The following is a 19,214-nucleotide window of genomic DNA, read 5'->3' as shown; positions in this document are numbered from 1 at the left end:
CAAAACCTGTTCTATTAAGAGGAAATACTCAGGTTAATAATTTAAAATACAAATTTACATTCCTACCAATAGTGCACAAGAATTCTCTGTGCTCTACATTCTCAAAAACACTTGTCATCTTTCATCTTGATAGTAATAGGCATTCCAACATGTGTAAGAGGAGAGCTCATTGTTGATTTTAATTTGCATTTCCCTGATGATTGGTGGTGTTGAGCATCTTTAAGTATACAGTTGTTCAGAAATTAGCTGGGCAAAGTAGCGTACATTTGTAATCCCAGCTACTAGGGAGGCTGAGGCAGAATTGCTGGAAACCAGTGGGTAGAAGACTCAGTGAGCTAAGATCACACCACTGCACTCCAGGCTGGGTGACAGAGTGAGAATAGAAATGAAATCAATCCATCCATCAATCCATCAAACAATCAATCAATCCATCAAACAATCAATCAATATTAAATATAGAGTTGTTGGCCAGTTATATGTCTTCTTTAGCGAAATATAAATTTAGGTCTTTGACCATATTTAATAGGCTTAGTTTTGTTGTTGTTGTTGTTGTTGTTGTTAAATTGCTTGAGTTCCTTGTATGTATTTATTATTCACCCTTTATCATATATATGGTTTGCAGATATTTTCTGCAAGTGTTTGGGTTGTCTCTTCACTCTACTATTTGTTTCCCTTTTCCCTTTGCTGTGCAGAAACATTTTAGTTTGATATAACGTGATTCAATTGTTTTTTGTTGTGCTTTTGTATTCTGTGCTTTTGGGGCCATAGCATTGAGGTTTCAAAAATTAAATTAAATTGAAAATAGAATTAACACATGATCCAACTACTCTACTTCAGAATGTGTACTCAAGGGATATAAAATTAACATGTCAGAAAGATATCTGCACTCCTATATTCATCTCAGCGTTATTCATAATAGCCAAGATATGGTAACAACCCAAGTGCTCATCAACAGATCAACAGATAAAGTGTGGCACATAAACACAATGAGATATACTATACAGCCTTAAAAAAGGAGGAAGTTTTGTTATACATTTGTGACCAAATGAATGGAATTGGAAGATACTATGCTCAGTGTACTAAGAGAGGCACAGAAAGACTAGTAAAGAATGATCACAATTATATGTAAAATCTAAAAAAGTTGAACTCATTCAAACTGTGAATATGCCAGCGGTGGTGGCTCATGCCTGTAACTTCAGCACTTTGGGAGGATGAGGTGGTTGGATCACTTGAGGTCAGAAATTTGAGGCCACAGTGAGCCATAGCTGTGTCAATGTACTCCAGCCTGGGCAATGCAACAAGGCCCTGACTCTTTATACAAATACACAAAATGTAGTCAGAGATTGGAGTGTGGGGTGGAGATGGCAGTGGATAGAGAAATGGGATGTGTTCATCAAAGGGTAACAAATTTCAGTGAGATAGGAAGAAGTTCTGGTGATCCGTTGCACAGAACGGTGACCACAGTTAATGAATGCCAACTTCAAAATTGCTTAATTAAAAAAAAAAAGGGCAGGCATGGTGGCCCAAGTCTGAAATCCCAGCACTTTGGGTAGACATGGTGGGAGGATCACTAGTGGTCAGGAGTTCGAGACCAGCCTGGCCAAAATGATGAAACACTGTCTCTACTGAAAATATAAAAATTAGCCAGGTTTGGTGGCATGTGCATGTCATCCCAGCTACTCGAGTGGCTGAGGCAAAAGAATAACTTCAACTCAGGAGGTGGCAGTTGAAATGAGCTGAGGTTGCACCACTGCACTCAAGTCTGGGGAACAAGAGCAAAACTATATCAAAAAAACAGATTGTTTAAAAAGCAGAATTTATGTATTCGTACCACAAGAGAGACATGATAAGTATGTGAGGTGATGGATAGGGTAACTAGCCCAATTTAATTCTTTTGCAATATATACATGCATTATAAAATCACTTTGCATCCCATAAATATTTACAATTGTTAATTTAAAATAAAAATTTTTTAAAAATGAATTAAAATTAAAATAAACTTGGCTTAATATATATAGACAGTAATATATGCAAATGTTTTCTTCTATTTTGGCTATTTGGCTTCTGTTATTTCTTGGGGAAACAAACACCATGGGAACGGATGAAGAACATTAAAGCTAAATAGTATATAATTTACATTATTTTTTGTTCTTTTTTCTCCTTTTTTTTCTACCAAAGCAATGGTGACAACTTTCTTGTCACACTTTCTTTTCTGTTTCTTTCTCATGAGAAATCACCACCAAAAATAAAGCTCGTGTAGATTTGCGAATATTTTTTTCTGCCCCTAGCTATGACCCTCTTCACCTTTGCTTTGGATTTCACAGCTTCTTAAAACACTGATTTACTTATTATTTGTTGTCTCCTTGTACCATTACTTCTTCGCTCTACCTGCAGGATCTTTTCTTTTTATTATATTTTAGTTTAATTTTTTTCAGACAGAGTCTCCAGCACAATTTCGGCTCACTGCAACCTGGGCCTCCCAGATTCAGGTGGTTCTCCTGCCTCAGCTTGCTGAGTATCCGATATTACAGGCATGCACAACCATGCTTGGCCAATTTTAGAATTTTTAATTGTGACAGGGTTTCACCATTTTGCCAAGGCTGGTCTTGAACTGACCTCAAGTGATCTACCCTCTCAGCTTCCCAAAATGCTGGAATTACAGGTATGAGACACTACATCCGGCTTGATCATTTTCTTTGCCAGATCTACATGCTGCTTGTCTTAGCCTTAGATATGCCACTCTCAACTCATGTATTTATTTTCTGTGATAGCAAGACTCATGGAAAGAGTTGGCCCTGACAAGGTTTAATTTTATTTCTCTTAACCCTCCTTTCTTCAGGCATTTACCCTGTTTTTTAGAATCATATCTTATACTTCTCACTAAATACCATATTTCACTTATCTGTTGCATATTACTCAAACCGTCATGTGTATCTGTAAAACTGATTCACACCCTCATTCCTGAAATACTATTTTGCTTTGGATTACATGACTCAACTTTCCTCTGATTTCTCTATTTAATTGTCAGTGCCTTTGGTTTCATTTTATCTCATAGATATCTATTCATTAGACCACTAATCTAACTACACAGAATACCTCTTTCTCTTTCCCTTTCTCCTTTCCCTTTTCCCTTCCCATTTTCTTTTTTTTTTTTTTTTTTTTTTCGTTTTCTTTTTTTAGGAAACTGTTCTGCCACCCAGCCTGGAGTGCAGTAGTGAGACCTGGACTGACTACAACCTCAAATTCCTGGGCTCAAATAATTTTCCTGCTTTGATCTCCTCAGTAGCTGAGACTACAGATGCACACCACCACACCTGGCTTTTTATTGATGTTTTGAGACAAAAGCCTGTAAGGTTTTAAACCTGTAGTTCTAAGGAATTCAGTGATATGACCTCTGAATTCCTATACATTGTGATTTTTTTCTCTTATGAGCGTTCCAAGATTAAGACAGCTAAATTGAAAGCTTCCCCTGAACTTCCTTACACTTTCTACATACCTCTCCCTTCCATCATTTTTGTCCCAAAATACATCATCTATATAACATAAAAATATTCCAAATACATTATTTTCCCTCATCTCTTTCACATTTTACCTATAATAACTTTTTTTATTATCTACCACTTACAAATGTGTTTTTCTTGTTGCTGCTTATACATTCTACTGGAGGTCATCATTCATTGCTCCCTAAATTGTAGTATCAACATCTTAATCTACTTCCTCCTTCTGTGTTACTATATTCAATTTATTTTTCACTGAGGGTTCTAGAATTATTCTTCCTTTCAATGAATAAAGCACATCGCTTTTCTTTTTCTTTTTATTCTTCCTTTCTGCTTTACTATTAACTGTTACTTTATGAGAGAGGAGCCATTTCAGTGTTATTTCCTATTATACCACAATTTTAAGCTAAAAGTCTGAGATATCATAACCTCTCTATAAGTGTTTAATATTATAATAAATAACACAACTTTGTAATTTCAGCATTAAATTTTTGAATACTAAGTCTATAGATTATTTATGAAACAAGATTTTAGTTGTGTTGCAGATGAGCTTGTTATTTTTTTAACTCACTCCTTCCATTTCTATCCATACTAGCTATAAGACATTTAGAGGTGTGAAAGTGGCATATTCTTCCCTATACTTGAGAGTCTGTTGAGGTTATATGAATAAAGAAATGTACAATGACCATTTAATTCATATAGCTAAATATAATGTTTAATATTTAAAATTTGTTTAAATGTTTTTATTACTTAAATTTATTATAACAAATATTATTTAGATTTTTCATTATTTAAAACTCAATATAAGAAACAAACATGTGGGAAAATCTCAAGTAATTCATTATCGTTGTTCTTATCATAGAAGATACAAGCCATCTCCTTATTGGTTAGGGTCATATTTACAGAACAGTCACTTTTCATTTCCCAATGAAATCTGAGGAGTGTGTTTTGAATTCCCTAGTGATATGCCTACAACTACACAGTATAATTCTGTCTTCTTTGGAGGGTATGACTCTACAGGATCAATATGATAATGTCCTAAAATATCACTGTTACATTTAATTATATAAAACACCACTAAAGTGAGAATAATATATGAGCTGTTCATTACGTAGTCTAATTATAGAGTTAATTTTTACACTCAAATACTTTAGTTAGAGACTGTGAAATTAAATTGGCCCTAGATGGAACTTAATTATTTGTAACAACTACCATACTGTGGTGAAATGAATTAACTGAAATCTTAATAATTTGGAAAATAATAAAGTTATTTCACTTAAAAGTTATTTTAAAAAAACTATATTTCTTAACTATTTATTTTATTATTATACTTTTAAGTTTTAGGGTACATGTGCACAATGTGCAGGTTAGTTACATATGTATACATGTGCCATGCTTGTGCGCTGCTCCCATTAACTTGTCATTTAGCATTAGGTATATCTCCTAATGCTATCCCTCCCTCCTCCCCGACTCCACAACAGTCCCCAGAGTGTGATTTTCCCCTTCCTGTGTCCATGTGTTCCTGTTGTTCAATTCCCACCTATGAATGAGAATATGCAGTGTTTGGTTTTTTGTCCTTGCGATAGTTTACTGAGAATGATGATTTCCAGTTTCATCCATGTCCCTACAAAGGACATGAACTCATCATTTTTTATGGCTGCATAGTATCACATGGTGTATATGTGCCACAATTTCTTAATCCAGTCTATCATTGTTGGATATTTGTGTTGGTTCCAAGTCTTTGCTATTGTGAATAGTGCCACAATAAACATACGTGGGCATGTGTCTTTATAGCAGCATGACTGATAGTCCTTTGGGTATATACCCAGTAATGGGATGGCTGGGTCAAATGATATTTCCAGTTCTAGATCCCTGAGGAATCACCACACTGACTTCCACAATGGTTGACCTACTTTACAGTCCCACTGACAGAGTAAAAGTGTTCCTATTTCTCCACATCCTCTCCAGCACCTGTTGTTTCCTGACTTTTTAATGATTGCCATTCTAACTGGTGTGAGATGGTATCTCACCGTGGTTTTGATTTGCATTTCTCTGAAGGTCAGTGATGGTGAGCATTTTTTCATGTGTTTTTTGGCTGCATAAATGTCTTCTTTTGAGAATTGTCTGTTCATGTCCTTCACCCACTTTTTGATGGGGTTGTTTGTTTTCTTCTTGTAAATTTGTTTGAGTTCATTGTAGATTCTGGATATTAGCCCTTTGTCAGATGAGTAGGTTGTGAACATTTTCTCCCATTTTGTAGGTTGCCTGTTCACTCTGATGGCAGTTTCTTTTGCTGTGCAGAAGCTCTTTAGTTTAATTAGATCCCTTTTGTCAATTTTGGCTTTTGTTGCCGTTGCTTTTGGTGTTTTAGACATGAGGTTCTTGCCCGTGCCTGTGTCCTGAATAGTATTGCCTAGGTTTTCTTCTAGGGTTTTTATGGTTTTAGGTCTAACATTTAAGTCTTTAATCCATCTTGAATTAATTTTTGTATAAGGTGTAAGGAAGACATGCAGTTTCAGTTTCCTGCATATGGCTAGCCAGTTTTCCCAGCACCATTTATTAAATAGGGAATCCTTTCCCCATTGCTTGTTTTTCTCAGGTTTGTCAAAGATCACATTGTTGTAGATATGCGGCATTATTTCTGAGGGCTCTTTTCTGTTCCATTGATCTATATCTCTGTTTTGGTACCAGTACCATGCTGTTTTGGTTACTGTAGCCTTGTAGTATAGTTTGAAGTCAGGTAGCGTGATGCCTCCAGCTTTGTTCTTTTGGCTTAGGATTGACTTGGAGATGCAGGCTCTCTTTTGGTTCCATATGAACTTTAAAGTAGTTTTTTCCAATTATGTGAAGAAAGTCATTGGTAGTTCGATGGGGATAGCATTCAATTTACAAATTACCTTGGGCAGTATGGCCATTTTCAGGATATTGATTCTTCCAACCCATGAGCATGGAATGTTCTTCCATTTGTTTGTATCCTCTTTTATTTCATTGAGCAGTAGTTTGTAGTTCTCCTTGAAGAGGTCCTTCACATCCCTTGTAAGTTGGATTCCTAGGTATTTTATTCTCTTTGAAGCCATTGTGAATGGGAGTTCACTCATGATTTGGCTCTCTGTTTGTCTGTTATTGGTGTATAAGAATGCTTGTGATTTTTGTACATGGATTTTGTATCAGCTTAAGGAGATTTTGGGCTGAGACAATGGGGTTTTCTAGATATACAATCATATCATCTGCAAACAGGGACAATTTGACTTCCTCTTTTCCTAATTGAATACCATTTATTTCCTTCTCCTGCCTAATTGCCTTGGCCAGAACTTCCAACACTGTGTTGAATATGAGTGGTGAGAGAGAGCATCCCTGTCTTGTGCCAGTTTTCCAAGGGAATGCTTCCAGTTTTTGCCCATTCAGTATGTTATTGGCTGTGGGTTTGTCATGGATAGCTCTTATTATTTTGAGATACATCCCATCAATACCTAATTTATTGAGAGTTTTCAGCATGAAGCTTTGTTGAATTCTGTCAAAGGCATTTCCTGCATCTATTGAGAGAATCATGTGGTTTTTGTCTTTGGTTCTCTTTATATGCTGGATTATATTTATTGATTTGCATATATTGAACCAGCCTTGCATCCCAGGGATGAAGCCCATTTGATCATGGTGGATAAGCTTTTTGATGTGCTGCTGGATTCAGTTTGCCAGTATTTTATTGAGGATTTTTGCATCAATGTTCATCACGGATATTGGCCTAAAATTCTCTTTTTTGGTTGTGTCTCTGCCTTGCTTTGGTATCAGGATGATGCTGGCCTCATAAAATGAGTTAGGGTGGATTCCCTCTTTTTCTATTAATTGGAATAGTTTCAGAAGGAATGGTACCAGTTCTTCCTTGTACCTCTGGTAGAATTTGGCTGTGAATCCATCTGGTCCTGCACTCTTTTTGGTTGGTAAGCTATTGATTATTGCCACAATTTCAGAGCCTGTTATTGGTCTATTCAGAGATTCAACTTCTTCCTGGTTTAGTCCTGGGAGGGTGTATGTGTCAAGGAATTTCTCCATTTCTTCTAGATTTTCTAGTTTTTTTGCATAGAGGTGTTTGTGGTATTCTCTGGTGGTAGTTTGTATTTCTGTGGGATCGGTGGTGATATCCCCTTTATCATTTTTTATTGTGTCTATTGGATTCTTCTCTCTTTTCTTCTTTATTAGTCTTGCTAGCAGTCTATCAATTTTGTTGATCCTTTCAGAAAACCAGCTCCTGGATTCATTAATTTTTGAAGGGTTTTTTGTGTCTCCATTTCCTTCAGTTCTGCTCTGATTTTAGTTATTGCTTGCCTTCTGCTAGCTTTTGAATGTGTTTGTTCTTGCTTTTCTAGTTCTTTTAATTGTGATGTTAGGGTGTCAATTTTGGATCTTTCCTGCTTTCTCTTGTGGGCATTTAGTGCTATAAATTTCCCTCTACACACTGCTTTGAATGTGTCCCTGAGACTCTGGTATGTTGTGTCTTTGTTCTCGTTGGTTTCAGAGAACATCTTTATTTCTGCCTTCATTTTGTTATGTACCCAGTAGTCATTCAGGAGCAGATTGGTCAGTTTCCATATAGTTGAGCTGTTTTCAGTGAGTTTCTTAATCCTGAGTACTAGTTTGATTTCACTGTGGTCTGAGAGACAGTTTGTTATAATTTCTGATCTTTTACATTTGCTGAGGAGAGCTTTACTTCCAACTATGTGGTCAATTTTGGAATAGGTGTGGTGTGGTGCTGAAAAAAAATGTATATTCTGTTGATTTGGGGTGGAGAGTTCTGTAGATGTCTATTAGGTCTGCTTGGTGCAGAGCTGAGTTCAATTCCTGGGTATCCTTGTTAACCTTCTCTGTCGTTGATCTGTCTAATGTTGACAGTGGGGTGTTAAAGTCTCCCATTATTATTGTGTGGGAGTCTAAGTCTGTTTGTAGGTCACTCAGGACTTGCTTTATGAATCTGGGTGCTCCTGTATTGGGTGCATATATATTTAGGATAGTTAGCTCTTCTTGTTGAATTGATCCCTTTACCATTATGTAATGGCCTTCTTTGTCTCTTTTGATCTTTGTTGGTTTAAAGTCTGTTTTATCAGAGACTGGGATTGCAACCCCTGCCTTTTTTTGTTTTCCATTGGCTTGGTAGATCTTCCTCCATCCTTTTATTTTGAGCCTGTGTGTGTCTCTGCATGTGAGATGGGTTTCCTGAATACAGCACACTGATGGGTCATCACTCTTTATCTGATCTGCCAGTCTGTGTCTTTTAATTGGAGCATTTAGTCTATTTACATTTAAAGTTAGTATCATTATGTGTGAATTTGATCCTGTCATTATGATGTGAGCTGGTTATGTTGCTCATTAGTTGATGCAGTTTCTTCCTAGCCTCAATGGTCTTTACAATTTGGCATGATTTTGCAGTGGCTGGTACCAGTTGTTCCTTTCCATGTTTAGTGCTTCCTTCAGGAGCTCTTTTAGGGCAGGCCTGGTGGTGACAAAATCTCTCAGCATTTGCTTGTCTGTAAAGGATTTTATTTCTCCTTTACTTATGAAGCTTAATTTGGCTGAATATGAAATTCTGGGTTGAAAATTCTTTTCTTTAAGAATGTTGAATATTGGCCCCCACTCTCTTCTGTCTTGTAGAGTTTCTGCTGAGAGATCTGCTGTTGGTCTAATGGGCTTCCCTTTGTGGGTAATCTGACCCTTCTCTCTGCCTGCCCTTAACATTTTTTCCTTCATTTCAACTTTGGTGAATCTGACAATTATGTGTCTTGGAGTTGCTCTTCTCGAGGAGTATCTTTGTGGCGTTCTCTGTATTTCCTGAATCTGAATGTTGGCCTGCCTTGCTAGATTGGGGAAGTACTCCTGGATAATATCCTGCAGAGTGTTTTCCAGCTTGGTTCCATTCTCCCCGTCACTTTCAGGTACACCAATCAGACGTAGATTTGGTCTTTTCACATAGTCCCATGTTTCTTGGAGGCTTTGTTCGTTTCTTTTTATTCTTTTTTATCTAAACTTCCCTTCTCGCTTCATTTCATTCATTTCATCTTCCATCACTGATACCCTTTCTTCCAGTTGATTGCATCAGCTCCTGAGCCTTCTGCATTCTTCATGTAGTTCTCAAGCCTTGGCTTTCAGCTCCATCAACTCCTTTAAGCATTTCTGTGTATTGGTTATTCTAGTTATACATTCATCTAAATGTTTTTCAAAGTTTTCAACTTCTTTGGCTTTGGTTTGAATTTCCTCCTGTAGCTCAGAGTAGTTTGATCATCTGAAGCCTTCTTCTCTCAACTTGTCAAAGTCATTCTCCGTCCAGCTTTATTCCATTGCTCTTGAGGAGCTGCGTTCCTTTGGAGGAGGAGAGGTGCTCTGCTTTTTAGAGTTTCCAGTTTTTCTGCTGTTTTTTCCCCATCTTTGTGGTTTTGTCTACTTTTGGTCTTTGATGATGGTGATGTACAGATGGGTTTTTGGTGTGGATGTCTTTTCTGTTTGTTAGTTTTCCTTCTAACAGACAGGACCCTCAGCTGCAGGTCTGTTGGAGTACCCGGCCGTGTGAGGTGTCAGTCTGCCCCTGCTGGGGGGTGCCCCCCAGTTAGGCTGCTTGGGGGTCAGGGGTCAGGGACCCAGGTGAGGAGGCAGTCTGCCGGTTCTCAGATCTCCAGCTGCATGCTGGGAGAATCACTTCTCTCTTCAAATCTGTCAGACAGGGACATATAAGTCTGCAGAGGTTACTGCTGTCTTTTTGTTTGTCTGTGCCCTGCTCCCAGAGGTGGAGCCTACAGAGGCAGGCAGGCCTCCTTTAGCTGTGGTGAGCTCCACCCAGTTCGAGCTTCTGGGCTGCTTTGTTTACTTAAGCAAGCCTGGGAAATGGTGGGCGCCCCTCCTCCAGCCTCGCTGCCGACTTGCAGTTTGATCTCAGACTGCTGTGCTAGCAATCAGTGAGACTCCATGGGCGTAGGACCTTCTGAGCCATGTGTGGGATATAATCTCCTGGTGCACTGTTTTTTAAACCCATTGGAAAAGCGCGGTAGTGGGATGGGAGTGACCCGATTTTCCAGGTGCCATCTGTCACCCCTTTCTTTGACTAGGAAAGGGAACTCCCTGGCCTCTTGCGCTTCCTGAGTGAGGCAATGCCTCGCCCTGCTTTGGTTCACACACAGTGTGCTGCACCCACTGTCCTGCACCCACTGTCTGGCACTCCCTAGTGAGATGAACCCGGTGCCTCAGAAGGAAATGCAGAAATCACCTGTCTTCTGCGTCGCTCACGCTGGGAGCCGTAGACCAGAGCTGTTCCTATTCAGCCATCTTTCAACTATTTCTTATTATATGAAAGACATAATGTGTCTCATGATAATGATGGAAGCAGCCTCAAATAAAATCTTACAAAACACTCTGGACATGATGGCTCATGCCTGTAATCCCAGCACTTTGGAAGGCTGAGGCAGCTGGACGACTTGAGGTCAAGAGTTTGTCACTAGCCTGGCCAACAGGGTGAAACTCCCTCTCTGCTAAAAGTAAGAGCATTAGCCAGGCATGGGGGTGCATGGCTGTAATCCCAGCTACTCAGGAGGCTGAGGCAAAAGGATCCCTTGAACCCGGAAGGCAGAGGTTCCAGGGAGCTGAGATCTCACCACTGCAGTCTAGCCTGGGTGAGAGAGTGAAACTCATCTCAAAAACATCTCTCTGAACTTTAAAAAGCAAGGTGAATTTAATCAACTTTCTATTTTATGCTGTCATTAAAGTTCATTAGGTTAAAAGTGAAGAGATATAAGGAATAGAAAAAAACCTCAGACTTGATTTTCAGAGCTCTGGAATCTAACTAAGTAATCAGGGGAGTGTTTAATGAAGAAAGACCTGACCTCTAAGTTTGGGCAAGACAGAATGTGGGCTGTGTGATTTAAAATGTCTGAGGTTCCCTTGGTGATTATTAGCTCAGAGGCTTTCCTTTAGCCCACCTCAGATTTTTCTTGGGGGCAGAAAGTGACTCTCAGGAGGCATTTGTGGGAAGGGAATACACTAGTCAGAGCTGTCTGTAGCAAGGAATAAGAGTCAGGTCAAGCAGTACACAAAGAAAATGCCTGGAAGGAAGAGGCTGAGGAAGAAAACTGATGAGCAAAATCAGCTTTGAAAAACTCTCACAGTTTGTTGTTTTTCATTTTGGATTGAGTTGTAAATAGAGACAGAGCTTGCCTTGTGGCCCACATTGGAGGGATTATGGCCCACTGAAGCCTCAACCTCCTTGGGTTCAAATTGATCTTCCGACCTCAGCCTCCTGACCATCTCACCTCCCTGGACTCCACCTATCCTTCCACCTCAGCGTCTCACACTACAGGCATGTGTTACCACAACCAGCTTATTTTTTTTTATTTTTTTATAGAAAAGATATTGCCATGTTGTCAAGGCTGGTCTCGCACTTCTGGGCTCAAGTAATTTGTTCTCCTAAGTTTTCCAAATTGGTGGGATTACAGATATGAACCACCACACCCAGACTCCTATTGTATATTTAGAAGAATATAAGTATGTCCATTTTTGGATGCATGCACGGAGAAGACCCCAAAGCTTTTCGTTTTCCCTGACTTTGGGCTAAACACTAGAGTTCCTCACAGAGTCCATATGCGAAGTCTGGGTGGTTTTTATTTTATTTTCTTTATTTTCCTCTTTTTTTCTTTTAAAATATGTCAAGAGGAGTAGATGACCAAAAGGGTGACAGAACACAGGTTAAGTGGCCATACATGACAAAGAGTACAGACTACAAAAATAGCTTTAAAGGGTTGCTAAACAAGTAAACAACCCACCAAGTAAACAGTTATGGAGGTCAATATTTTGTTATCCAAATATGCTGAATAATATCCAAAGTGTTCACTGTTCAACAATAAAATAAAAGGCACTCAAAGAAAAAAAAAAAGGTTACACTCAAAACATAATTAAAAGAAACTATTTCAGGAAACTCAGTCATGGTAGTAACCAGGGAAATATTTCAATTCATTTCATTTTAGTGTTCTCAAAGACCTAAGGGAACCCAGGAGAACAGTGATTCAAAATTGAAAATATCAATAAAAATGTATGAATTATTTTGAAAAATGAAATCAATAATCTGTAACTAGAAGGACTGAATAGCATGTGTGAGCATGTAGAAAGCCTAATGAGGCAACTTGAAGATGGATTGTTTGATATTGTTCAGTGTAAGGAACAAGAAGAGAAACAAGAATAATGATCAAAACTAAGGTTTCCATGGGACACCATCAAGAATATCAACATATTCATAATGGGAGTCCCACTGGAATAGGTGAGATGGGGAAAAAAAGAATATTTAAATGAATAGTGGTTGAAACTTCCCAAAAGTGTCGATAGATGCAAATCTACTGATCCAAGTATCTCTAAAGAACACAATACTCCAGGGAGAATAAAATCCAAGATATCCACACTGAAACACATGCACTGAAATTGACAGAAGACAAATAAATAGAGAACTTTAAAAGAATCAAGACAGAAGTAACTCACCACATGCAAGTTATCCTTCATAACATTAACAGCCAATTTCTCATTAAAAATTATAGTGGAAAGAAGTCACTGTGATGAGATCTTTAAAGTGCTGGAATAAGAAGATAAAGTCAATCATAAACTCAATATCTGGCCAAACAAAAATTTAACTTTATGAGCAAATAAGGCATTTCCAAGCAAACATAATTAAAGAGAGTACATTACTACTAGATCAGCCTTACAAAACATGATGAAAACAAGCAAGGAATGAAAGAAAAATAGTGCCTCATGTGCAAATAAAGAAATAAGAACATCAATAAAATAATTACGTCACGAAATAGAAAAGCCAATATTATTATATTTGGGTTTTCTGTGACTTTATTTTTCTACTGGATTTAAAGGTATCTCACAACTGTAATCCCAACAAAGTAGGGGGATTTCCTTGAGTCTGGGAGTTTGAGACCAGCCAGGGCAACAAAATGTGACCGTCTTTTGAGAAAATAAACAAAATTAGCCAGCTGTGGTGGCATGGACTTCTGTCCCCAGAACATAGGGCACTGAGTTGGAAGGGTCCCTTGAGCCCAGGAGCTCGAGGCTGTAGTGAACCATGTTTAGCCTGTGTGACTGAAACCCTGTCTCAATGAATTAAAATACAATACAATAATAAAATAAAGAAATGACAAAAAATAAAGCAATAATTACACATCTGGGTTGTTAGCAAATGTTGCATAACAAACTATTTTTGACAAAAAAATAGAAAGTTGGGGAAAACAGTATGGGAAAATGATTTTTGTATAATGTCAATGCTCAGTTGTTATAATTCACACTATATTATTATTAATTCAAGATATTAATTATAATACCATTAATAACTTGTCCTTTTTATGGCTGCATAGTATTCCACGGTTTATATGTGCCATATTTTCTTAATCCAGTCTATCATTGATGGACAATTTGGTTGGTTTCAAGTCTTTGCTATGGTGAATAGTGCGATAATAAACATACGTGTGCATGTATCTTTATAGCAGCATGATTTATAACCCTTTGGGTATATACTCAGTAATGGGATTGCTGGGTCAAATGGTAATTCTAATTTTAAATCCTTGCGGAATTACCACACTGTCTTCCACAATGGTTGAACTAATTTACACTCTCCCAAACAGTGTAAAAGCATTCCTATTTCTCCACATCCACACCAGCATCTGTCGTTTCCTGACTTTTTAATGATTGCCGTTCCAAGTGGCTTGAGATGATATCTCATTTTGGTTTTGATTTGCATTTCCCTGTTGACCAGTGATGATGAGCATTTCTTCATGTGTCTGTTGGCTGCATAAATGTCTTCTTTTGAGAAGTGTCTGTTCATATCCTTTGCCCTCCTTTTGATGAGGTGTTTTTTTTTTTTAATGAAAATTTGTTTGTGTTCTTTGTAGATTCTGATATTAGCCATTTGTAAGATGGGTAGATTGCAAAAATTTTCTCCCATTCTGTACGTTGCCTGTTCACTCTGATGGTAGTTTCTTTTGCCATTCAGAAGTTCTTTAGTTTAATTAGATCTTATTTGTCTATTTTGGCCTCTGTTGCCATTAATTTTGGTGTTTTAGTCATGAAGTACTTGCCCATGCCTATGTCCTGAATGGTATTGTCTATGTTTTCTTCTAGGGTTTTTACGGTTTTATATTTAATATTTAAGTCTTTAATTCATATTGAATTAGCTTTTATGTAAGGTGTAAGGAAGAGATCCAGTTTCAGCCTTCTAAAAATGGCCAGCCCCTTTTCCCAGCACCATTTACGACATAGGGAGTCAATTCCCCATTTCTTCTTTTTGTCAGATTCATCAGAGATAAGATGATTGCAGATGTGTGGTATTATTTCAGAGGCCTCTTTTCTGTTCCATTGGTCAATACATCTCTTTTGGTACAAGTACCATACTGTTTTGTTTACTGTAGGCTTGTAGTATAGTTTGAAGTCAGGTAGCATGATGTCTCCAGCTTTTTTTTTCTTCTTCTTCTTAGGATTATCTTAGCAATATGGCCTATTTTTGGGCTCCATATGAACTGTACCTTTTTTTTTCCAAATCTCTGAAGAAAGTCACTGGTGGCTTGATGGGAATGGCATTGCTTGTATAAATTACTTTGGACACTATGGCCATTTTCAAGGTATTCATTCTTCATACTCATTATCGTAGAATATCCTTCCATTTGTTTCTGTCCTTTTTGATTTCGTTGAGCAGTGTTTTGTAGTTTTTCCTGAAGAGGTCCTTCACATTCCTTGTAAGCTGGATTCCTAGGTATTTTATACTCTTTGAAGCACTTGTGAATGGGAGTTCACTTGTGATTTGGCTCTCTGTTTGTCTGTTAATGGTGTACAGGAGTGTTTGTGATTTTTGCACACTGATTTTGTATGCTGAGACTTTGCTGAAGTTGCTTATCAGCTTAAGTAGATTTTGGGCTGAGACAATGGGTTTTCTCAATATACAATCATGTTATCCGAAAACAGGGACAATTTGACTTCCTCTTTTCCTTATTGAATACCCTTTATTTCTTTCTCTTGCCTGATTGCCCTGGACAGAACTTCCAACACTATGTTGAATAGGAATGGTGAGAGAGGGCATCCTTGTCTTGTGCCGGTTTTCCAAAGGAATGCCTCCAGTATTTGTCCACTCTGTCGGATATTGTCTGTGGGTTTGTCAGTAGCTTTTATTATTTTGAGATATGTTCCATCAATACCTAGTTTATTGAGAGTTTTTAGCATGAAGGGTTGTTGAATTTTGTCAAAGGCCTTTCCTGCATCTATTGAGATAATCATGTGATTTTTGTCATTGGTTCAGTTTATATGATGGATTAGGTATATTGATTTACATAAATTGAACCACATTTGCATCCCAGGGATGAAGCTGATGTGATAGTAGTAGATAAGCTTTTTGTTGTGCTGATGGATTCAGTTTGCCAGTATTTTATTGAGGATGTTCGCATGGATGTTTATCTGGGCTATTGGTCTAAACTTCTCTTTTTGCTTGTGTGTCTCTGCCAGGCCTTGGTATCAGGATGAAGTTGTCCTCATAAAATGAGTTGGGGAGGATTCTCTCTTTTTTTTATTGATTGGAATAGTTTCAGAAGGAATGGTACCAGTCCCTCTTTGTACCTCTGGTAGAATTTGGGTGTGAATCCACCTGGTCCTGGGCTTTTTTTTGGTTGGTAAGCTATTAATTATTTACTCAATTTCAGAGGCTGTTGCTAGTCTATTCAGAGATTCAACTTCTTCCTGGTTTAGTTTTTGAAGGGTGTATGTGTCAGGAATTTATCCATTTCTTCTAGATTTTCTAGTTTATTTTGTTAGAGGTGTTTATAGTATTCTCTGAGGGTAGTTTGTACTTCTGTGGGATCGATGGTGATATCCCCTTTATCATTTTTTATAGCTTCTATTTTATTCTTCTCTCTTTGCTTCTTTATTAGCCTTGCTAGGGGTCTTTCAATTTTGTTGATCTTTTCAAAAAAAAAAAAAAAAAAAAAAAACCCAGTTCCTGGATTCATTGATTTTTTGAAGGGTTTTTTGTGTCTCTATCTCTTTCCGTTCTGCTCTGCTCTGATCTTAGTTATTTCTTGCCTTCTGCTACCTTTCGAATTTGTTTGCTCTTGCCTCTCTATTTCTTTTAGTTCTGATGTTAGGTTGTCAATTTTATATCTTTCCTGCTATCTTTTGTGACATTTACTGCTATACATTTCCCTCTGCCGACTGCTTTAAATGTGTTTCAGAGATTGTGGCATGTTGTGTCTTTGTTCTCATTGGTTTCAAGGAATGTCTGTATATCTGCCTTCATTTTGTTATTTACCCAGCAATCATTCAGGAGCAAGTTGTTAAGTTCCCCTGTAGTTGTGCAGTTTTGAGTGAGTTTCTTAATGCTGAGTTCTAATTTGATTACACTGTGGTCTGAGAGACACTTTGTTGTGATTTCTGTTCTTTTACAATTGCTGAGGAGTGCTTTACTTCAGGTTATGTGGTCAATTTTAGAATAAGTGTGATGTGGTGCTGAGAAGAATGTATATGCTCTTGATTTAGGGTGGAGAGTTCTGTAGGTGTCTATTAGGCCAGTTTGTTACAGAGCTGAGTTTAAGTGCTGGATATCCTTGTTAACCTTCTGTCTCATTGATCTGTTGATTAATGAGACAACATTGACTGTGGGGTGTTGAAGTCTCCCATTATTATTGTGTGGGTGTCTAAGTCTCTTTGTAGGTCTCTAAGGACTTACTTTCTGAATCTGGGTTGTGTATTGGGTGAATATATATTTAGAATTCTTAGCTCTTCTTCATGAATTGATCCCTTTATCATTAGGTAATGGCCTTCTTTGTCTCTTTTGATCTTTGTTCGTTAAAAGTCTGTTTTATCAGAGGCTAGGATTGCAACTCCTACTTATATTTTTTTCTGCTTTCCATTTGCTTGGTATATCTTCTTCCATTCATTTATTGTGAGCTTATGTGCATCTTTGCATGTGAGATGGGTCTCCTGAATACAGCACACTGATGGATCTTGACTCTTTATCCAATTTACCCATCTGTGTCTTTGAACTGGGGCATGTAGCCTCTTTACACTTAAGGTTAATATTGTTATGTGTAAATTTGGTCCTGTCATTATGACGTTGGCTGTGTAGTTTGCCTGTTAATTGATACAGTCTCTTGATAGCATCGATGGTCTTTAAAATTTGCTTTTGCAGTTGCTGATACTGGTTGTTTTTTTCCATGTTTAGTGTTTCCTTCAGGAACTCTTGTAAGGCAGGCCTGGTCGTGACAGAATCTCTCAGAATTTCCTTATTTTTAAAGGATTTTATTTCTGCTTCACTTATAAAGCTTAGTTTGGCTGGATATGAAATTCTGTGCTGAAAATTCTTTTCTTTAAGAATGTTGAATATTCGCCCCCCACTCTCTTCTGGCTTGTAGGGTTTCTGCTAAGAGATCCAATGTTAGTCTGATGGGCTTCCCTTTGTGGGTAACTCAACCTTTCTCTCTGTCTGACCTTAACACTTTTTCCATCATGTCAACCTTGGTGAACCTGACAATTGTATGTCTTGTGGTTGCTTTTCTCAAGGAGTATCTTTGTGGCATTCTCTGTATTTCCTGAATTTGAATGTTGGCCTGCCTTGTTAGGTTGGGGAAGTTCTCCTGGATAATATCCTGAAGAGTGTTTTCTAAGTTGGTTCCATTCTTTCCATCACTTTCAGATACACCAATTAAACTTAGATTTGGTCTTTTCACTTAGTCCCATATTTCTCAGAGATTTTGTTTCTTTTTACTCTTTTTTCTCTAACCTTGTCTTCTCAGTTTCTTTTATTAATGAGATCTTCAGTCACTGATACCCTTTCTTCCACTTGATTGAATCAGCTACTGAAGCTTGTGCATGCATGACAAAGTTCTTGTGCCACAGTTTTCAGCTCCGTCAGGTCATTTAAAATCCTCTCTACACTATTTATTCTAGTTAGCCATTCATCTCATCTTTTTCCAAGGTTTTTAGCTTCCTTGTGATAGATTGGAACATGAAACTTTAGCTCAAATAGTTTTGTTATTACCAACCTCCTGAAGCCTACTTCTGTCAGCTCATCAGATTCATTCTCTGTCCAGTTTTGTTGCATTGCTTGTGAGGAATTGTGATCCATTGCAGAAGAAGCACTCAATTTTTAAAACTTTCAGCTTTTCTGCTGTAGTTTCTCTCCATCTTTGTGGTTTTATCTACCTTGTGTCTTTGATGTTGTTGACCTACAGATGGAGTTTTGGTGTAGATGAACTTTTTGCTTATGTTGATGCTCTTCCTTTCTATTTGTTAGTTTTCCTTCTAACACTTAGGTCCCTCAGCTGCAGGACTTTTGGGATTTGGTGTAGTCCACTGCAGATTGTGTTTGCCTGGGTGTCACCAGCAGAGGATGCAGAACAGCAAATATTTCAGAACAGCAAATATTGCTGCCTGATCCTTCCTCTGGAAGCTTCATCCCAGAGGGGCAGCTGCCTATATGAGGTGTCTGTCAGCCCCTACTGGGAGCTGTCTCCCAGATAGGTTACACAGGGGTCAGGGACAGATGAGAGGAGGCAGCCTGTCCATTCTCAGACTTCAAATGGCATGCTAGGAGAACCACTGCTCTCTTCAGAGCTGTCAGACAGGGACATTTAAGTCTGCCAAAGTTGTCTGCTGCCTTTAGTTCAACTGTGCCCTGCCCACAGAGGTGTAGTCTACAGGCAGTAGGCCTTGTTGAGCTGT

The sequence above is a fragment of the Homo sapiens genome, chromosome Y (assembly GCF_000001405.40).
Source record: "Homo sapiens chromosome Y, GRCh38.p14 Primary Assembly".
NCBI classification, from domain to species: domain Eukaryota; kingdom Metazoa; phylum Chordata; class Mammalia; order Primates; family Hominidae; genus Homo; species Homo sapiens.
The sequence above is the reverse complement of the archived record's forward strand: the minus strand, read 5'-3'. Positions refer to the sequence as shown.